This window comes from Homo sapiens, chromosome 1, assembly GCF_000001405.40.
Source record: "Homo sapiens chromosome 1, GRCh38.p14 Primary Assembly".
In the NCBI taxonomy this organism is placed as follows: domain Eukaryota; kingdom Metazoa; phylum Chordata; class Mammalia; order Primates; family Hominidae; genus Homo; species Homo sapiens.
Genome location: NC_000001.11, coordinates 113,386,651 through 113,408,643, shown reverse-complemented (window position 1 = coordinate 113,408,643; position 21,993 = coordinate 113,386,651). Strand labels below are relative to the sequence as shown.

General features: G+C 39.0%; 1 protein-coding gene across 5 annotated transcripts in view, besides 8 other annotated features; it reads right to left on the bottom strand.

The window, feature by feature from the left end:
• The window catches only part of MAGI3 (membrane associated guanylate kinase, WW and PDZ domain containing 3), a 295,409-nt gene extending 277,280 nt beyond the window's left edge, over positions 1 to 18,129 (bottom strand). For all 5 annotated transcript variants that reach the window (XM_017000974.2, NM_152900.3, XM_005270737.4 and 2 more), the window contains exon 1: positions 17,295 to 18,129. In XM_017000974.2, the coding sequence (XP_016856463.1) occupies positions 17,295 to 17,610 (316 nt within the window). In that variant the 5' untranslated portion in view covers positions 17,611 to 18,129. The remainder of the gene's footprint in view (positions 1 to 17,294) is intronic.
• Positions 17,084 to 17,133: an enhancer, noted in NCBI's record as "active region_1532". NCBI's record gives its function as "activates an Ori minimal core promoter by ATAC-STARR-seq in GM12878 lymphoblastoid cells {active_cell/tissue: GM12878}" and the evidence as "EXISTENCE:reporter gene assay evidence [ECO:0000049][PMID:35858748]".
• Positions 17,184 to 17,683: an enhancer, noted in NCBI's record as "H3K27ac hESC enhancer chr1:113933583-113934082 (GRCh37/hg19 assembly coordinates)". NCBI's record gives its function as "activates a minimal SCP1, AML or CMV promoter by ChIP-STARR-seq in naive H9 embryonic stem cells {active_cell/tissue: H9 hESC(naive)}" and the evidence as "EXISTENCE:reporter gene assay evidence [ECO:0000049][PMID:30033119]".
• Positions 17,184 to 17,713: a biological region, named in NCBI's record as "H3K27ac hESC enhancer GRCh37_chr1:113933583-113934082".
• Positions 17,364 to 17,523: a silencer, noted in NCBI's record as "silent region_1212". NCBI's record gives its function as "represses an Ori minimal core promoter by ATAC-STARR-seq in GM12878 lymphoblastoid cells {active_cell/tissue: GM12878}" and the evidence as "EXISTENCE:reporter gene assay evidence [ECO:0000049][PMID:35858748]".
• Positions 17,584 to 17,713: a silencer, noted in NCBI's record as "silent region_1211". NCBI's record gives its function as "represses an Ori minimal core promoter by ATAC-STARR-seq in GM12878 lymphoblastoid cells {active_cell/tissue: GM12878}" and the evidence as "EXISTENCE:reporter gene assay evidence [ECO:0000049][PMID:35858748]".
• Positions 18,124 to 18,483: a silencer, noted in NCBI's record as "silent region_1210". NCBI's record gives its function as "represses an Ori minimal core promoter by ATAC-STARR-seq in GM12878 lymphoblastoid cells {active_cell/tissue: GM12878}" and the evidence as "EXISTENCE:reporter gene assay evidence [ECO:0000049][PMID:35858748]".
• Positions 18,514 to 18,563: a silencer, noted in NCBI's record as "silent region_1209". NCBI's record gives its function as "represses an Ori minimal core promoter by ATAC-STARR-seq in GM12878 lymphoblastoid cells {active_cell/tissue: GM12878}" and the evidence as "EXISTENCE:reporter gene assay evidence [ECO:0000049][PMID:35858748]".
• Positions 19,553 to 19,797: a silencer, noted in NCBI's record as "fragment chr1:113931469-113931713 (GRCh37/hg19 assembly coordinates)". NCBI's record gives its function as "represses an EF-1alpha promoter that drives an FKBP-Casp9 reporter gene in an ReSE screen in K562 erythroleukemia cells {active_cell/tissue: K562}" and the evidence as "EXISTENCE:reporter gene assay evidence [ECO:0000049][PMID:32094911]".

Genomic DNA, 21,993 nt, shown 5'->3' with positions numbered 1-21,993 from the left:
AATTCTCAGAGCTCAATAGTGAAAATGTTTATTTTACAAGAAAGCATAAAAATAATATCAATATGAGACAATTAGTTTGACTTTTAAAGACAGACAATTAGTTTGACTTTTAAAGACAAACATGTCTCATATTTCTGTACCAACTTAAGTCATTAACTTCCAGGTTGGATACCAACTTAACTGATAACCTAGCTAGTTAATTCCATAGGACAGAAACTAAAACAGCTTATTTTCACTCCTTGGAAAATAAAGTGCTTACACAAAGCAAATGAAAAATCTGTTTGCCCTTCACACTACTAGCTATTGATTCAATTCAGTAGCCTATGTCAGTCATATGCATAAAATTTTAACAAGGAGGCTGAAGTTTTGCCTAGATTGAATAAGCTTCTCTTCCTTTCTGAACTTCAGTTTTTATTATATTTTTAAACAAACATACAGCAAAAAAAGAGAAATTTCAGAAAATTGACACAGAAGTCAAAGGCTGAATTACTTTGAAGTACGGAACTTGAATCATTCTCTTTTATGGTATCTGGGCCTTGCATGGGGCTTAGTGCATAGTAGGTATGCAAGGCACATTTGCTAATTAAAATCCAAATGCCTTGCCAATAAGAGGATTAATGCTTGGAAGAATCCCAAGCTACCTTCCTGAACCAAACATCTGAAAATGTTCCAATTCTACAACATTAGAAGGTACTTTCCAACAAGTCCTAAGTGCCGTGCTAACATTGTAATCCAGTCAAATGCAACTGTAGTACTACATCTTTTGCATTTTTGACATAGAAATTTGGGTCTAAGATATTTTAGCACATAAACGAGTTCGTGGGAAAACTTGTCCCATTTCCAAATTTCACTTTTATTCTTACAAGCTAAAATATAATCAAATTAGAGTCCTGAACTAATGGTAACCTGCATGCTGATCCTAGATTCACCAGTAACTAGCTATACGACCTTGAGCATATTTTTCTCCAAGGTTTAGTTTTCTCATCTGTAAAATTAGAAAAACTGGGCACTTAAAAGCCTTTCTTGTGGAAATGCATTGCAATTTACATTGAAAGGCATAAAAAAAAAAAAGACAGATTGATGGATGGAGGAATAGGTTAATGTATAATAAAGCAAGTACAGTAAAAAGTTAAGAAAATAATCTTGGTGGTAGATATATCTCCTTCACACAAAAAATCTGATCACTCCACCCAACCTCCTGTCTTTCCTATTCCTGGAAATAGTACCACCACCAGTTACTCAAAGCAAAAACCTAGAGGTTCTCTTGAAGTCCTCTCCCTTCCTTACCTGCAATCAATCAGTTAAGTCTTATTTAGTTCCTCTTTAAAAACATATCTCAAATCTATCCACTTCATTTCACTGCCACTATTCTTATAAGTCCAAGCCATCATTTATTTTCATCCAAACTAAAGGGTTTCCCTTCTTCCACTCTTGCCCTCCTTCCACATCACAAACAATGACTTTTTGACATACATACCAATCATTCTCCAACTTTATACTTTCCAGTGGCATTAAGAATAAATAAAATCCAAACCCCTTACTGTGGCTAACAGACCCCCACTGGTCCCCGTCTACTTCTTCAATCTGATCCCTCTCACTTTCACCCCTCATTTAGTTGGTGCCAGCCATATCAGCCTTTCTATTCCTATATCGAACCAGGTTCTCATATTTGTGTTTTACAATTCTCTCTGAGTAAAAAATTTTCAGAGGGCAGATGCCTGCCTCCCAGTCATTCAACTCACAATGGACATGTCCCCTCCTCAGGGATGCTTTCCCTGGCCACCCAATCTAAATAAACTTCACATTAAAAGTGCTAAGGAAATTCTCATCTGCACTGTAACACATTTTTTCTACCTATCTCCTGTAATCAGAGGAAATTTTTTTTTTTATTTACCTGTTTTTAGAGACAGGGTCTCACTATGTTGCTCAGGCTGGTCTTGAACTCAGGCAGTTCACCTGGTCTCAAATCTCATGAGTAGCTGGGACTATAAGCCTGTGCCACCACACTCAGCCTTTAATACTTTAATATTGGATTAACATGCCTCAATTAGATAATTTTTTATACTTTAATAAGAAATTCCAAGAGATTATTTGCTTTTCAAAAATCTATTTTCTTTTTTTTTTCATTTATCATCTTATGAAAGAATAGAAAAATCCAATTTGAACCAGTTTTTTTTTCCTTTTTTTTTTTTCTTAGAGATAGGGTCTTGCTCTGTCATCCAGGCTGGAGTACAGTAGCACGATCATAATTTACTGCAGCCTCCAACTCCTGGGCTCATGTGATCCTCTTATCTTAGCCTCCTGAGTAGCTGGAACTACAGGCACGTGCCACCACACCCGGCTAATTTTTTTTTTTTTTTTTTTTCTGTAGACAAAAGGTCTCACTGTGTTGCCCAGGCTGGTCTCAAACTCCTGGGCTCAAGCAGTCCTCCCACCTCAGTCTCCCAAAGTGCTGGGATTTACAGATGTGAGCCATCATGTCCGGCCCACTATTTTTTTTTAAGATGATTTTTTTAAAGATGGGGTTTGGTTTACTAAATGCAATCCAGTTCAAATCTCTAAAACAAGGGCACCAAATTAAAAGTAAAATATTATCTATCTTGAGGCCAGGCTTCTGGAATATTTTTAAATCTAGAAACAGAAAAAAACATATATACGGATGTTCTGGGGGTAAAGAGCAGCTCCTGAATATGTAAGCAAAACCAAACACAACAGAAAAGAGAATACCACTCTGGGTTTATACCTAACTCCTCAGACTGAACAACTCACAATGGAGAAGTTAAGAGCACTGCAATCAGCTGACAGGATCTATACAAGGTCAGTTTTTTCTTTGGAAAGCAGAGAAGCATGGGAGAAGCAATCGGAGTACAGAGAAAACAAAACTGCAGAGGGAGCAAATCAAAGGCAGCAGAGAAGTTGAGGTTGTGAGCCACAGACACAGACAGTCCAGATCTACAGTCTGCACCTTAGCAGTTACTAAAGGCGTAGGCAGGAGCTACAATAGTAAAGAGACAGATATCACCAATGCCCCAGTATTGTACAAGCAACTACAATAGTCTCCACAATGTTTATACATGAAAAATATTACTGAATTTTTAAAAATGTATTTATAAGTGGCATTCCTCAAGACAGCCTTCAGTCTTTTTTTTTTTTTTTTTTTTTTTTTTTTGAGACAGTTTCACTCTGTTGCCCAGGCAGTATGCAGGTACAAGCATGGCTCACTGCAGCCTCGACCTGCCTGGGTTCAAGTGATCCTCCCACTTTAGCCTCCCAAGTAGCTGGGAATACAGGCACACACCACCATGCCCAGTTACCTTTTATTGTATTTTTTTGTAGAGATGGGGTTCCGCCATGTAGCCCAGGCTGGTCTTGAACTCCTGGGCTCAAGCAATCCACTTGCCTTGGCCTCCCAAAGTGATTTCAGGCGTGAGCCACCACATCTGGCCTTTCAATCTTATTCTAGTGTAAAATGTGTTGGGAGAGGGAACTTGGACTAAATACTTACAAGTTACGAATACCCTGCTCTGGAAATTCTCATATATCACACTTCACCCTGCCTTCTTTAGCTTATTTATCTACATCAGAAAATCTGAACTCAAACTTTTAACATACTGCCTCTTTTTCATGAGAAGATGGCACATAAGCATAAATAAATAAACAAAATTAAAAGTAAATAAAATTCCAGGGTATTCTATTACAGCTGGCAACACACAGAAATTCGTAATTTCATATAATTCCAAGAGCAAGAAATAAAATAGGGCTGAATCTCATGAAAACTAGGCTTGTAGGATGATTCTAGAATGATTCTAGACCTTGGGGTGAAGAGTTTTGTGGCCCTTCCCTCCAGTGCTCTGCTATTAACACCACTCAGTTCTACATCATGCATTAGGTTTTTCTCATCGTTTCACTCATAGTTTCTTCTCCCATAATTTTAGTTTGTACATGGTTTCTCATGACCTCTCCAACTTTGATTCTCCCTCCCCGCCCCCACAATCAGTGTGATATGTTCAGGAAATGCCAACAACTACCACCATAGTCAACTGTGATAACAGTGAAAAGGGAGCTGGGAAGATATGCACAGTAGCAAACCACTATATAGTGTTTCTACCATACAGATATAGTAGATATAAAGAAATTCAAAAGCATAGATAATTGTAAAATGTGGGCAAATAATTAGGAAATAATTTGTTTTGAGTATTTATCTTTGTTTTTATTAAATTATTATGCAACTTAATTCTTAAAAATGGCTGTTTGACAACTCACAAAATTCTTGAAAATTTAACAATTGGTCTTGCAAAAGAATACAGCCAACTCACTTCAAAACCTCTCAGCTGAAGCTCCCACCCTTAATTGGAAATTCTTTCCTTTTTGTCTTAGTTCAAAAGACAATAAGCCCCACTCATCTTTTTAAGCTACAGAAATCACAGGTTGCTGACCAGCCAATAAACTGGTTGCTTTGGGTGAGGTGCTCTCCCTGCCTGTGGCTTGCAGGGGAGGTTGACGTCAAATGATATCAAACATAGATGTCTCAGCAGCAGTTATGGGAGGTGGGAGAGATACAAGCTAACCTAGGACAAAAAGTTACTACAGATGTTAAAATCCCTTGGCCCTATGATTATTCCAACTACAGGCCATTATGAAAAGAGAAGCTCACAGAAATGACAATGAGCCATCAAGAATGGGCTAAATTGTAATTAATATACTATGTTTAAGAAGATGAGTGCCTGGGAAAGGATCAGCTATCACTCAGCGACTTCCTCCTTGTAGTATGCCTTCCTGAAACGCAGAAGTTGGAAAACTAAAAACTGTCTTTTCCAGACTCCTTTATAGCTAGTATTCTGGATGCAAATCTGATTCCACCATTAAGATGCAGGACACAAGATATGGAAGGCAGAAGTAAAGCAGAGCCCCATTGGCCTGTAGCTTTCAGCAGCTTTCAGCTTGTACACAAGGTCATGAACATGTCAGTATCCAGTCTCCAGCTTTGAACTAAAACAAAAAAGAGAGAATTTTCAATTAAGGAGTAGAACCGTCAGCTAGGAGGTTTTACAGTGATGCAATGGAGTTGGCTGTACTCTCTTGCAAGGCCAATTATTAAATTTTTATGAATTTCACAAATCAGTTGTCAAACACAGCCACTATTAAGAATTTAGTTGCATAAAATTACAATTAAATTATATTAAAAACATAATTAATCATTTTCTAATTATTTTAGAGACAATGGCAAAGGCAGCAGGGACCAGATTCATCATAACAGCATCTAGTCACCAGTTCACGAGCATCAAGGAGAAGCTGTCACAGCAATGGCCAGATCCTACATTCCAGACTTCCAGCAGTTACAATGTTAACAGCAGTGGCTGCCCTGATCACCTGGATCACAGCTACAGTAGCATTTTCTTGCCACTGTTTCAGTAGCAACCTCCTGATTGCCACTTTCCTGACTCAAGCAGAGGTGGCAGCTCCCACTGTGGACTGTTTCAAGGTGTCCTGGAAATCATTCTCAGAGGCTCAGTCTAGAGCCCAGCCCTCCAGCCCTTTCAAAAGATTCCCTAAGCAATTAATTCCCTGCATTATATCCCCTTCTGTTTCCTGCACTGAACCCTGACTGATATTGCAAAGGAGTATGTGGTAAATGGATTGCAGAAAGATTTTTTCATGTCCACATTCATGCTGTTCTTCCACTGACCTACAAAGAGCCCAAGCAAGACTCCATCATTCCCATTAGTCTACCTAACAAACATAGTTTCCCCAGAACTGCCACCTCAATCCCCTTTCTTCAGTTTTGCCTCACAGGGAATACCTTGTCCTCTGCTGTGGCCAGCTTTACGTGGCCTGAGACATCTTCTTGTCCCGCACCCAGCAAGAGCACAATCCCTCTTCTCAGTTATGCCATCACTGCAGCCGAACAAGCTTGAGGACAGTGAGCCAAAGGTATCCTTGACAGTTCATCTCCCACAACCCTGAGTGTCCTCTTGCCCTAAAATTTATCTTCCCCCAATGCATCCCCTAGTCACTCAAGGAAAAAAATAAAAGCACAGCTGACTCTAAATCAGACTTGTAGCATCAGCCCCACAGAGAGAGCAAGAAACAGTGTTAGCAGTCTACCATATAGCAGGAACTATTCAGAAACATTTTACTGAAAGCATTGTGAAGAATCTCCGATAGGAAAAATGATTTTTCAAAGCTAAAGCTAAAGTAACTAACCAAAATAAATACTTAACTATTCAGCTATTATACCAGCTAACAATTTTGACTGTGTAAATCTTAATCATAAGTTACACCATTATAAAGGCTTAAAATGCCCTGAAAATCCATGGCATATAATGATTAAAATTCTTTCCTGTGCTGCAGGTTCGGGGATACCACTGCCTCTAACCACATTCATGCACACTGATGGCCTAACAAACTGAGTCTAGCACATTACACTTAGTTCCAAGAGAATGCAGATTTCATAAAGAAACAGAATATGTTTAACAGGTCCTTTTTTCGCCAATTTTCTACACAAATTCTTATGCCAGAAACTAGAACAATGAAAGGAACTAAACAATCTGAGTTCTAGTCTCTGCTCTACCATGCTTATGCTATGACTTCTGCCATTGCTAAGCCTCGAATTGTTTATCCATATACTAAGATTGGATTGCTGTGTTTCCTTCCACTCAAGTGACTGACTTTAGCCCAGAGAGAAAACATAACAGCGTAAACACTTAAAGAATAAGAGGTTCCAACAATCCACAACCTGCTTTACCTGCCTCTTCAAAGGATCCATCTTAGGTGTGCAATACTCGAAGTCTAGAAGGAGAAAGGTCTACTTAAATGCAATGAGTTATTCTTTTACCTAGCTTAGCTAAATTTTATTCAAGCAAAGTGTACTTTTGTGAGAAGGGTCTGCATACTTATAAAAGATCCCTAATTCTAAAGTACGTTCCTTTCTACATTCACCAGAACATTTTCTAGGCTCTCAGTAAATGTGCTAACACCTTCCTGGTGAGTGAATTACAGAGGAAGTAGAAAGGAAACACAAGAACAAAATATTATTTCTAATATGCAATTTTCCCAAGTATATTTATCCTAAAATATGTATCTAATATATTTATCTGGGCTTTTACATATTATAGAGAATATTTTCCGCAATAAAAATATTCTGCTGAAAATATTCTCTTACAAATGTAGCAAGAATACTAACTTTCTGCTTGATTAGCAATTCTTGGAAATAACTACTTTATCATGCAGCTTAGCTGTACAGATTAAACTGCACGGCCACAAACTCTGTTTTGAAACAGAACCAAGCAGTGAAGCCTTTATTGTAAGTACTTGCCCAGTGTTTTACTGCATTTAACACCCACGCAAACAATTCAGAATTGTGCTTTTTCCTTTTACTAGAAAAAGGAAGACAGGTTTTTTGGATATAATGAACTAATATTCTATCCAGAAAGTAAAGAAAGACTCAACGCTGTGTCAGTTCATAATTCTTCCTGTGAGTCTGTGTGAACTTTCACGTGTTAATCTCTCTAACTCAATTTTCTCATGTGTAAAGGAAGATGATAATATCTGACTCATAGAGAATAAAAATATATAAAGTTCTTTATAAGAAAACATGAATGCTAATATATACATCCTTATAAACCAAATAAGACAGGTATAAAATGCCCTGACATGGAAGTTATTACTCTAAATGACAGCTAATATGTTGTGATAAGTCCTCAATATTCCTATTAGAGTAAGGTTGTCTAAACTTAGGGTTGTCACCCAAGGGAGGCTGAAGTGTCATTTCAGTCATCAGCATTACATTGTGAGATTGCTCTAGTTAGCAAATCTAATTCTATTCAAAGGAAATTAAAATTTTCACTAGCATGTGCATTCTAACTTAAACACTGAAATTAGTGAATAGAATTCTTAGCTAAAATTAATAATATTTTGACAAAGTGTTCTGCTGAAAGCTACCAAGTTGGATTGAGATACAATTCTGTGAACAGAGGTAATAAAGACTATATCATTTTACTAGATTTCATGGCTTAATTAATCAATATATGGAATTAATATTGGAGAACTCTAATTATTACAGGCTTTTGAAGTAGAAGCAGTAATTTTCCAAATATGGTCTAAAGTCATCCGAAGGGTGCCCAAACTAATCTAACAATACAAAGTACTTGCTATGATGATTCTTACTGGCAAATCACACCCAATTCCATGAATGTTCATTTTTATGTACAGTAAGTGCATTCACCAATAATCTACCAACATTTAATATTCACTAAAGATCCAACTACCAGATGACACTTGGCAAAACTACAAAACTCCTACTGTGCATGGCATATATAAACTCAAAGTTATTACTAAAATTATTATTTTTATGGCACCAAAGCTGAAGACATTGATACAGTAATAGAATATAAAAATAGTATGAAATGTTATTTGGAGCACCCACCCCTCTCTTTCAACTGTCTACCCCTGCTCTGAGTACCTCTGTTCTCCCAGTGGAGGCTATAAAAAACTTTAAAAAGGGGATCAGATTTTATCCTGCAATATCTGCCAAATAACATTTTTGGTAATTAAACAGTTACCACATGACACCATACTTAAGTAATGTTTCAAAACTCTTATATACCCATTTTATATAAGAGTCAGTGAAGTAGTTCCTTTCACATAATTTCCACGAAATCATGGTTAAAAAGTATTATTAGGGAGCCCTCAGAAATACTACAATAATGACATTGTCTCAATTTGTGTTTAAAAAGACCATTGTTTTAAAAGCAAAACACCTTGGAAAGTAATTCGTTTAGAATTTCATTTTCAAAATGGTAGAATAAAATTGTTTTAAAAACGTAATTGTTTAACTAGGCTAATAATATTTTTCTCAATGCCAAAGACTGTTAATCTTCCAAAGTATTCCATCTCCCTAAAAATCAACAGCATTGATTTTAGAGAATCTTATTTAATTTTTTTAAAGAAAATTAAATAAAAATTACAAGAAATACTTTTAAATTGTGCACATTAAGGTATCAGTATTTCAATTTTTTAAAGAAATAACTTTTAAATAAAAGCAATTTTTTATTTAAATATTTGAGTAAAAGCAGTGCCTAGAAATCAAATCAGTTTTGGTTTACAGCCAATATCTGTTTTTCTAAAAATGATAGTTTTATGACAACTGTGTACTACTTCTGGCCTCCAAGTAAGAGAGATTAAATGTTTTAAAAGAGATCATTTCCTGTAGTATTGATTCCTCGGCATCCCACCCTTTCAGGAACTCCCCCTCCCTTACGTCTTGGGGTTCTGCTACAGTTATTAATCATATTATGCTATTTATACCCAGCTGCAAGGGTAGACATGTCCCCACGCCTGACCAATCATGGCACTTCATTGTCCTCTCCTCTCTCTACAATAATTGGTCCAAGAGATGGGCACAGGGCCAAAGTCCCTGCATGAGATTTGTTATTAGACTCCAAAAAGATGAGAAGCTTTAAGGACCCTGTATGACTTCGGGGTTCAGAGCTACCTTCACCGCTACACTGACAGTCTAGCTGAGAAAAAATCCAACCCAGAAGAAAAGAGAACCAAATAATAATTCTAATGACCAACACTTGAGAACAGAAGTTAGCTGTTACTGATCTATGCCTGGATTTTAATGTATGTAAGTCAATAAATTTCTTCTTAGCCTACATTAATCTCAACAGCGTTTCTGTCACTTGCTACAGAATTCTTACAAATACAGAAACTGATATGTAAATTAAGATTTTTTTCTTTCCTGCTGAGATCTAAGCTATATATCACAAGATACTTGCTGCAAACTAGATAACCATATCCAAAGAGTAATATATCTCTGGAACTACTCCATTAAAGTGAATTTTTAAAAGTTATTTTATTGGAGGAAAAAGCAAAGCCAATTTAGCTTAATTCTATTTAAGTTCAGAAAATGAAGCATTAATAAATACTTGTTTTTTTCCTACCTTGTAGGATATTTTCCTTTCATAAAACTACTTCTGTTAAATGCCATTATGTATAGTAAAATCCCATTTTTCATAGTCATGTGTAATTCCCAATCAGAACAACGAGATACAGGCTTGCCTCTCACAAACTCCCCTGAAGCCAGAAAATAATAATTACGTGTTTCAAATTATGTGCAAAAAAACCAGCAAAAGCAAAGAGGCTAAAATGCCAGAAAGTTTTAATTAAGTAGATCGGTTACCGTTCACATTGTATACCCAAGACAATAAAAAGGGAAGCCTCCAAATAGAAAAGATCTTAATTATTAATAAATTTGAAACAAAATTTTTTCCAATTACCACTGCATGATATTTTTTAAAACCAAACCCTAAACTCCAAACAAATTATGGCAAAAAAGTTTAACCCTTCATAACCCATACAGAGTCTCTAAAACAATATCTCTCAGTATGTGTTAATAAAACAAGTACCTAATCACCTATAAGGACAGCGTGTCCTTTCTCAGGTATTTAGATATGTCATAAGTCAAATTATGGTCCTCAAAATGTAATCTATGTTCCCCTGGCCATGTTGGGATGACTGAAATGGGTGGGGGCTGCAGGTAAGTGGGTTGCTCCTGGAAACCACTGCAATGCAGCTGAGTGGCTGCATCAGGATAAATTGCTAGGGTTCAGGGAAGAATGGAGATATAATGATGCCACCCTTCTCACTGGAAGCCAGTCGGCTGTGGCTGTAACAAAAGGGAAGGCGGGATTAAGATGAAAATATATTTTTCAATTCCCTTTTTCCTAGGCTAGCAAATTGTGTTTTCCCATAAAACTGGCTAGACTTCCAAAACAACAAAAATAGGGCTATTAACCATAAAGAACAGAACTAATGGTACATTAAGGGTTAAATAAAAATATTCATAGTATAACATTATGAGTGGAATGAGGCTGAAGGCAGAAATAGCATTAAGCACCTTAGAGCATTATTTCGAGGAGATAACACATTTAAAAAAAACTTACAGGAGACTATTCATAATGGAACTACCTATACATTTAAACAATTAATATGATCTTCCCTCTATTTTCCAATTATTCTATAATGTGGATTTTGTGCCCTTGTACAAAATAATTTCCAATTATTCTATAATGTGGATTTTGTGCCCTTGTACACAAACACACACAAAATTATTGAGATGGACCACACTGTAAACCTTTCTGTATGGAACGTTTTTGCCCTGTGTTTTTCTCCTCCTCTGCTTCTTACCTACTACTGGAAAGATCCTAATTCCACTCAACCAAAATCTGTCATCTTTCAAAACCCAAACAAGTTCAAAATTATTCACAATTCATTCCTCAACCACTCAAGTCAGAAAACAAGGGCAGATGGCGTGGATCCTACCAAGATATTAAAAAGAAAAAAAGAAAAGAAATCATTCTTTCACTTCATGTACACATTTAATTTCCATAAATTCACTGTACATACCTAGATGAGGATAATTTCTTAGAATTAAAAGTTTTTTTGTAAAACATATCTTTTTAATGCAAGCAAATTACTTCTTCTGGTATTCGACCAAAAAACTGCAATTGGTTCCAACATGGGTGGAAAAGTGGCATTTGGACTCATCCTACAAACAGTACAATATAGTATTTTATGCACAATTTAAGGGCTTTTTGAAAAGACAGTTTTGCTTATATTTGATTTCCCTCTTTTTGTGATGACTTGAGAACCCAAATCCTTTCTAAAATGCAGCTCCACTACTTTTTCGAATAGCACACTATGCAGCCAGTTAGTCTCATTTTCACCAAAATTCATACTAAGACCTACCTAAAGAGTTTTAAACACTGGCAGAAAAGTGAAAAAGGCAAAACCCTTACTACAGGTATTCCTTACCAATGAGTCATTAAGCTCCCACTAAACTGCCAGCTTCTTGAAGACACACAATTTCTGACTCATGTTTATATCGCCAGTGCTAGCTCCATGCTGGCACTTGGTGGGTGCACCACTAAGTATTTGCTGAGGGAATGAATGCGTGCCAGTAATAGGACTTCTTATTTTTTCTGTATTAAATAAAATATGCATCTTTTCTTGGAAAACATTCTGAATAATAGTTGTTCTTCAAAAACAAAATATTAGCAAGATATTTTGTTAGCAAAATTAGCTAGAAGAGCAATGAATGGATTTGCCTCTTTCCCTACAAACATGTCTCATAACACCAGCTTCTAAGTTTCTGAAACTCTTACTTTAGACAATAGTTTTAAATTCAGGGCATTCACTCTATCTACCAAAATGTAGTATTTCAAGAAAATTATTGCTCAAAATTTCAGAAGACAAAAAATAATTTATTAAAGGCGAAACGGTTCTAGTCTTCAATACCAAAACACTTATCTTTTGTCAAATCACACACACACACACACACACACACACACACAACCCTGACATTCACAGATTTTGAAATTGGTAAATAATACTGAAGTAATCCATAAAAACAAGATTCTCTTTCAACATACTCCCAAAACACTAAGTCCCCCCAAAAATTACAAAGCACTTAGGGGTTACATAGTAAAGACTCTGTATGAAACTATCACTTGAGAAGATTAGGCACTGACTTCATAAGTCAGACACTTGAATGAATTTAGAAGATTTGTTTTGTCGCCAGTTTACATAAATTAGCAGAAAAAAAATCACAAAAATTTGTCTCTCAAAACAAAAGGTTTTATAAAGTATGTGCCAGGATCTCAGAGGAAAAATAATGTATACGTCCCAGGAACACAGAGTTATGTTACATGAAAATCAGTTTTAGCAATAAACTGAATAAAATTTAAAATCATCTAAAAATCAAATGGCCAAATGTTAAGTATTTGTTTGTACCAGTAAGATAGCAAGAAATTAAAGAATTATTAAAATGCCTCAACCTAGGAAAATAAAGTTTTACAAACTAAATTATAAAAGTCTGGGGGTGAGGGCAGGATCAATAAAGTACCCAAAATGATATACTAGAAAATGATATACAAGAAAAGTTAACAAAAGTATGTGTGTGTGTATATACATATACATATATGCATATAATATATATATACACACACGTATATACATATATACATACTGAGATATTTGGATATAGTACTCTTAGAGAATGATGGAGAGAAAATATTTTTTAAGTACAAAGATGTTAATGATATAATAAAAGTCATCAAATATCATGCAAGCAAATCAGCTTGCAATTGCTAAGGTGTAAGCCCATTACTCATATGAATTGAAGGTGTCAATGAACAGAATCCAAAACCTGAACCCCTGAGTTATTAAGAGCTTTAGGGAAAAAAGAAAAAAAAACTACCAAAATTTGAAATAGGAAATTTTCAACTTCAAGGTTTATCAAAATGTAATGCTACTTTCCCTAGCAAAGGGGCTTGGCTTGCTTCTTTTTCTATTGTTTCTAAAATAATCTCTAGGTCTCTAGATTTTCTTGTTTTAAAAAAGGTACGAAGAAATGTATTGTAAGCCTGGGAGGCTAACAATTAACTCTAAATTCTCTTACCTTTCCCATCCTCATATAATACAACCACCTAAACAAAACTCATCAAAAATCCTAAATATCCCACTAAAAAAAAAAAAAAAAAAAAAAAAAAAAACTAACAAAAAGATTCAAGAGATAAGAAAGGCACAGCATTATTTTTATTTGAATAACATAAATATTTCCTATTTTAAAGCATCCAGTAGTGTTTCTTCACCAACAGGAAGTGTATTTCTAGGAATTAGCCCATTTTAACAAAACTCCCTTACAAATTGGATGTCCCAAAGAGTCAGCAGTGAAGACTTTTACCTACCTTTAACATTACCCAGGAACTGTTTCAACTTGGTTTTTATTTAAACAAACTATAACATTGTTTCCTATGATTTCCATCCCTGGATACACTACTTGCTTAGGGTAGTTGAATGTAATGTGTGCATATGGCAGTAGACAATGATTTCATGTATTTATTGTACCGATACTTAATCTCTGGAATAAAATACACATAATTTACTGAAACTTACTGAAAGCAAACTGCTGAAATATGAGCTTAAAGGTGTATGAAGAAGCATAAAACTCTGCACAATTAGAGTCTGGGGAATTTCAGAACAAAATTCACTACTTGTATATTAATCAGAATAGAAATGGTTTAAGAATATATACTCTGTAGTAAAATCAAAGAAACTAAACCTAGTCATAGTAGTATATCACAAAACAATTTCACCAGAGGTCCAAAGTTCAACTTTACTACTGGGAAAAGACAAAGTTCAAACTCAAATGACAACTTTTCTCTTTGCAGAAAAATAAACAACAGGGTCATAATTAAGAAACAAGTAACTAATCGAGCCAAGCAATAGGTGAAACCAAAGATTCTTCTATAAGCGGGCAAAGTACTGACTACTAAGTACTACACTAAAACAATAAGAAACTACCTAATTGATTCAGGAAAAGCTTCAGATTAGAAACCATATTTTAAAGAGTAACTTTCAATTCTCTATTAAAGATTATAACAACAAAAAAAGGGAAAAAAAATCAAAGCTAAAGACAGTAGCTGCCAGAAAGATGTTAAGTCACCTGGCTGATAGTACTGGCTTTGGGAGGGCGACCCTTAGCACCTAAGTGAAAAGAAGGCTAGGAAGAATCAGTGCTACAAAAGCCATGTTCTACAACCCAGCTCATCCTTCTGCCATGGACTTTGTCAGAAGACAATATGAGAACATTTCCGATTAGTATTACATCTTACAAAAATGGTTAAATTTTACTCTTTCACTGTGCTAGTCTCTAAATGTCATGTTATGAATATGGTTTAATAAAAAGCAACTAGTCAAGACAAGAGAGTGCTAAGTACACTTTACAATACCTTATTAAATTGAAAAATCAATTTCTGTCACAAAGTTTAGATAAAAGCAAAAAATAAAACAATGTTTATGGCAAGTTTCTTTTTAAATTCCCTTACTCTATTTTCATCCTTTCCAAAATGAATCACAATAAAGAATCTTTGTCTCTTCTGAAAATAATATTTGTTTTTAATCAAACTCAAAAGTTCTACAGATAACCTCTTCAAATTCTTAATTTCTAGTATTTAAAGTCTGTTTAACCTGCAAAAATCTTGCTATTTTATAACAAATGTTGCTTTTAAGCAAAGCCATTTAAGAAAGCCATTTAATATAATACCTAACATGAGGCTATTAAGAAGCTAAGAATACTATTTTTAAAAGAGATTAAAAATTTTAAATTACAACCTGCTTAGAAACAATATTAATCTCAAATAACACAGACATAATGGTATCTTGAGAAATTACTGACACAAAGTGTCTCTTCAAAAAACAAGTGTAGTATTCAGAACTTTATTACTAATGACTACAAAATGTTCTGTGGCCATTAATACGTTATTCCCTTTATTTTGGCTAAATCTTTAAAATAGAACAGTGTCTGTGGCTGTCAAGAGGGCAAAACTGTATTACTCTAATAATGTCAACTACATACGGGGGCATAGGATGTTTATTCAACACAGTTAATATTACTAATGCTCTAAATCTTGAATTATTGTTAAATATAATATAGAGGTTGAGAAAAATGTATAACAGGTAGATTAGACTAATGTTATGAAATAGCCATCTCTTCAGTCTTCTAAAAAAGATCACAATAATTTAGAATACACCAGCTTCCATGTCAATATATCAACTTTAAAATTTCTAAAAATAAGTTATATTCTCATCTATGCCCTAACGAATCAAAACAAAACACAAAGAAATGATGCAGATGTTCTCACTATTCACTAACTCATGGGATTTGAACTAAGATTTGGCAGCTAGACTAGTAAATGCTGTCTATATAGCCTTTTGCATATTACAGACAGTGCCTGACTAGCTGAATTACAGCCCCAAAAGTCTTTCCTCTGCCTTTCACACATGGCTGTAAAAGTTAGAGTTAAGAAAAAAATTTACAAATTCTCAAAACTATACAGAAAAAGCTGTTTAAAGTCTGCCAAAGTTTTAAAAAATTAACAACAATAAAAAGAAAACCTCACCACATAAACCCATACACTTAAAATGAATACGATGGAATACGCTATAGAAAGAAAATCTTAATTATGACCTTAGGAGCATGTGAGTCTGTGTGTATACATATCCACAATACACAGACATATGTAAACTGCACCACAAACCATCAAGCCCCATTAAGCTCAAGGACTATTAAAGATATATTAATATTTCCAAAGCGAGCTGCTGAGAAAGAAATGAGAAGGAGATAACATATTAAATTTTTATCCAGAATTTTCTAGCATTTTGCCATCAAGGGATGGACTGCTACCTAGCCCAGGTAACAATTAACCAGCCCATTATATTTTGATGCACCGTATACTCAGCAGAGCACATTAAGGAAAAACAGTTTGGTTTCTAATAATGTTACAATCACAATTCTCTCTCCCACAAACATCTAAGACGACAGAACCACATTCTATCTATGCTGAAACAAAACCAACAATGCTGTCTATAACAAATTCATAAGAACTACTACATACTATCAGATCTCACTGTATGCTGTCTCTGATCAATGCTTTGAAACTGACGAGTATGCCATAAACATAACGTGCTTTGCAGCAATTTTTACTAGCATAAAAGATACCAGGGCAACAGAGGCTCCTTTAACCTACCACTTCAACAAAATTCTGTAAAATCAAAAGCGTTACAGAAGCTTTCACTCCGCTAGGCACCTAGGTCTTCCTGCAAAACCCAGACTCTATTCAACAGCTCCCTGCAAGAACACACCAGTCTGCCACATATCACATATTGTACCGTCATCGGTACTCAGACACCTGAACCACCTGGACTGACAGAGTTAGGCTGTCAGCTCTGAGATGTCTGCTAGAGTGCAAGAAACACTGAAGCAGCTAAGCCCTTCCAGGTACACCAGGTGGTAACCTTGGCACCAAGTGCCTCTATAGTAAAGTCCCTTTTTCCCTGTTAGAAGATGCGTAAGATCGTTCCAAAGAAAATGTTACAATCCTAAGGGCCTTTTTGCACAACACAGGAAAAGGCTGGCCTTCTCTAGTCAAAAACTCTTGTCTGCGGGGGGAGATGGAGCTACAAATGTAGGAAACCCAGCTTCTAGTCGCAATTCTGTGACAGCTAGCACAGCTAGCAGAGCAACCGCGCCAAGCCAGAGCTCAGTTTTCCCTTCGGCAAAATGGGACTCACCAACGCCACCCCTCCCCCTCGTCAAGGAGTCTGGCACACCCTAGAGGTCTAAGATTACCCGGGACAATACGCGGTGGGGAGGTGCCGCCGCTCCCAGGACGCCCACCCTGAAGCCCCTCTCCCCAACACCCCGAGACAGATACGCAGGGCCGGCGTACCTGGTTTCACAGTCTTGAGACGGATGGGCTCGCGGAAGTGGCGGATGACAGCCAGGGTGTCCCGGTTGGTGAGCCCGCTGACAGGCGTCCCGTTTACCTCCAGCAGCACATCGCCTGGGCTGGGCGCCTTGCCCGAGACGACGCAGCAGGTGCCCCCGCCGGGCTCCTCGCGGAGCCGCCCCAGGTAGGGGAACTCGCCACGCTCCGCGCCACCGCGGATCTCCGCGCCGAAGTCGCCCGGGGGCCCGGCCCAGGACACGGCGCACTCCTGCACCTTGCTGAGCCAGTGCTTCTTCTTCTTCAGCGTCTTCGACATCCCGAACCCCGCTGCACCATGGGGGAGACCCCGCGCGGGCGGCCGGGGCGCCGCTCCGGCCCCGTCTCAGCCCGGGGGCCCTGGGCGGCCCGCGCAGCCCGGTAAGGGGGGCCTCGCCGCTCCGGCCCCCACCCCGCGACCACAGCCCGCTGGGGGCCCGGCCGTTCCCAGACGCGAGACGCCCCTTGGACGCCCCTCCCGGCTGCGCTCCCCGGGGCTGACCGGACTCCGCGAGGGCCACCGCGGGTTAGGCTGAAGAAAGGAAAAGGGAATTGTCCCCAGGAGGTTCCAGAAGGGGCTTCGGGCGGGGTCACTGCCGCCGGCTGGTCCCTGGGCTCAGCGCCCGAGCGGCGGGAAAGGCTGAGGCGGGGGGGCGGGGAGGTGAAGGGGGAAGAGCCGGGAACGGGAAAAATCCGTGGGGGGCGCGCAGAAGCGCGCGTAGACCCGTCGCGGGATCGATCGTGGCCGCTGCGGAGCTGTAGCGCGGAGACCAACGCCTGCCCAAGCTGCCAGGAAACTGCCGCTTTCAAACCAGCCGCAACCTCCTCCTCCTCCCTTTTCCCTTCCCCCGGCCCTCGCCCATCCCTCATCCAGAGCCCCGCCCCCTCCCGCCGCGCGGCGCCCGGCGCGCTGCCGTCACAGGCTGGGCGCTTGGGAACGAGCCCCGGCCCTGGACTCTCGCGCCAGGGATTGGCCCCCGGCGGGCAGGAGGCGGACCGCCAACGAGAATGGGGACCACTGGTTGGTCGGTGCGAGTGGAGGAGGCGGGCACTAGAATGACTGAAGTTTAGAGAGGGTGGAAAAAAGAAGTTTGGAGAGTGAGGGAGGGCGCAGAGGAGGGGCAGGGGAGTGGAAGGGGCTGTAGGTCGCAGGGCCGGGAGAGGCCCTCTGCGCGGCGGCTGGAGCCGAGGAAAACTCGAATCCGAGAGGGACCGAGCTCCCCGAAGTGGGGGCGTGGCCGGCGAGTTAGGCGGAGACGCGGGCGGAGCCTCTGAGCCTGTGCGGGGCGCAGAGAGGGGCCGGTGTGCTTAGATTGGAAGACAACGTGCGGAGTCCTGAGCCGGCCGAGGTTCCGGGGCCTTTAGGGTGGCCTGTTACAGCCGATAGTTTGCATTGAGTGGATATTGCTTGTTCATTCGTTCATTCAACAGATGTTACTGAACGCCCATTGAGGCAGGGCTTCGGAGTCCGGTTGATGAAAGATATTATAAAATAGAGTCCGGCACTGCTGTATGACCTAAGACAAATTAGACAACCTCTCTGAGCCGCAGCGTCCTCAGTGAAAAGTGAAGATTACAGAAGATGTACAAAATAACTGCATAGTGCCTGACAGTGGGTGGTTGCCTCTTAAAGTTTGGTAGCTGCTGCTGCTGCTGCTGATGACGATGACGATTTTGTGTTAGATATTGTGCTAGGTACTGGGATTCAAGGGTGAAGAAAACAGAAGCCCCGCTATTGAGGAGGTTACAGTCTAGTGGGAGAGACTGAGAAGTAAGCAGACTGCCTGAGGTGAGGGAGTGGGGTGGAGGTAGAAGGTGGATTATTAAGAACTAACCTGGTAGCCAGCAGATCTGGTTGGAGTCCTGACATGCTACTTACTTGCTGTTTGACCTTGGCCAAATCTCAGTTAAAGGAGGTGAAGGGAGAACGAACATTAAATAAAAGATATCGTAGATCCCTTCCAGCTCTAATTTTTCAGAAATTTCACTTGAGCTTTCTCTCTTCCCCGGCTTGACTTACACTCTTCCCTGTCTTTGGAATGCCCTTCATCTCATCTCTTTTAAAACTCCTATCCGTCCTCATCCCAAATGCCGGCTCTTCCAGGTAGCTTTCTCTGATTTCTTGCCCTCAAGTGGAAAGTGTTTTCTCTGAGCTATGATCTTTGTTTCACTTTTGCAGCATGACATTTATTTGTGTAGTCTCCTGTCTCCCTTTAATAGTAGGTGAAAGCCCTTATAAAACTCCACACCTCAGATAGACTGGACCAAGCTTCAATAGCTGCAGTGATTTCGTTGACACCATTGTATCAGTCAGGGTCCTGGCAGGAAACAAATGGCATTTTGCAAAGATGTGGGCAGGGTGTGGGAAACCACAAGAGAAGCTGGAACCCTGAGGCTACAGCTCCTAGATCTGTCCAATCGGGAAAGAACAGTTACCGAAAAATCCAGACACACAGGGCCACCTGACAGGAGTCTGTGACCTTCAGTCAACGGATGCAGTCAGCCTAAGTAAACACCCAGCAAAGGACCTGGGGGATTTATATCTAACTCACCACCCTCCTCCAGTCTCCTGCTGGTGCTTGTCAATGGCCAAGTCCAACCAGACGCCAGAGGGCAAGGGAGGCTTTTGATATAGTTCATATCAGTCAGTTTCAGAAAAGGAAACAGTGCATCTGAGGGGAAAATATTCAGCACAGACACCATGTGGATGGCTCAGATTTAACCATATCTGAGACAAAGCTTGGAGTATTTTTTTTCTAAACTACTACCTATACTAATGGATTCCTGGATAAAATCTCCATAACCTACACATCATCTGTTTTTGCAGGAACTCTGGGAAAACATCTTTCTGTGTCTAGATTGCATCTGTTAGAATGCCTTTGGCCTCAAGGAACAGAATATTTGGCAGTAGCTTAAAGCATGAGGTCATTTACTATATCTTCAATATAAATTTCAAGTGCAGATAGTTTCAGGGTTAGTTGAGCAGTACAATCATGTCATCAAGGACCCAAGCTCTTTTTTGTGTTTGCTCTCTGCCATCACATGCATGTGAGCTTTTGTCTCCAGGTTTGTCACCTCTTAATTGCAATGTGGCTGCCATAGCTCCAGACATCACATCCACAGAGGTCACTGCACAGAGCAGGAACGGAAGAAAAGGAAGTGCTGTCCCCCATTTTTATGAAGGAGAAAAATATTTCCCAGACTTTAGAATCTTCCTTATTGTCCAGAAAATGGTCATATGCCACATCAGACCAGTCACTGGCAAAAAGAGATAGGATTGGCCACAGTTCATTAAATTGATCACAAGTCACCCCTAAACAAAATGAGTGTTCTGACTGAGAGCAGAAAAGGGGAAATAGTTGCTAAGTAGGCATCCAACAGTGTTTGCCACATGCCTCAACCATGAATAAGTTGTATTCATTCTTGGGCAGAAAACTGCAGTGGTTCAGAGCTTGAGCAAATCAGACTGCAAATCCCAGCTTTTCTACTTACTGCAAATCCCAGCTTTTCTACTGCTAGCTCTGTGATCTTGAGCAAGCTATTTAACCTTGCCTATCCTCAATTTCCTCATCCACAAAATGGGTTTGATGACAGTGTTTACCTGAGTTGTTGTGAGAACTGTATGAAGCTATTTGAGTCAAGTAATTTGAGTCAAGCTATTTGATAACATAGGATGCAGCATAGAGCAAACAGTAAATTTTTATTTTAGTTTGTGCTAAATTGTACTATCTTTGACAAAGCTAAAAACATTGTATTAAATTCACCCATCTTAGTAAGCTTTGGTTCAGTTTTTAAAATATTCTAGAAATAAGCTACCCATGCTATTGAATTAATTCTGGTAGGATATTATTTTGGCAATTATTACATAAAGGGGTCATATTTTAAGCTTCTATCTCTAAAATGACACCTAATTAAATAATCGTATTGTATTCATGTTTATCACGACTTTCCAAAAATAATGGTTGGTTTAATAGTTGTGATTTCCATTGGGGAATATTAATAAACCAAACAACATGGAACAAAAATAATAAAAATAAATGAGGCAATTGAATTTGGTGATCTCCAAGGTTTCTTTGGGCTATCCCTATCTAATCTATCTAATCTATAGAGCTAGAGATAGCTATGTGTGTTAGGCCATTTTTGTGTCATTATAAAGAAATACCTGAGGCTGGGTAATTTATAAAGAAAAGAGGTTTAGTTGACTCACAGTTCTGCAGGCTGTACAAGCATGGCGCTGGTATCTGCTTGGCTTCCTGGTGAGGCCTCAGGTAGGATTCAGTCATGGTGAAAGGTGCAGCAGTGGCAGGCACATCACATGGTGAAAGTGGGAACAAGAGAGGGTGGAGGTGCCACACACTTTTAAACAACCAGGTCAGGTGTGAACTCACTCATCGCCAAGAAGACGGCACTAAGCCATTCATGAGGGATCCGTCCTGTCCCCATGATCAAAACACCTCCCACCAGGCCCCACCTCTGACACTGGGGATCACATTTCAACATGAGATTTGGAGGGGACAAATATCCAAAACATATCAATATGTTTCACTATGGAAACTTTACAAGTTCAGTCCCAAGATGGCTGCAGAGGCTCCAAGTATCACATCCACACACAATAATGGCTAAAGACTGAAAGGAGGGAAAAGGATATTTCCTTTCCTCATTT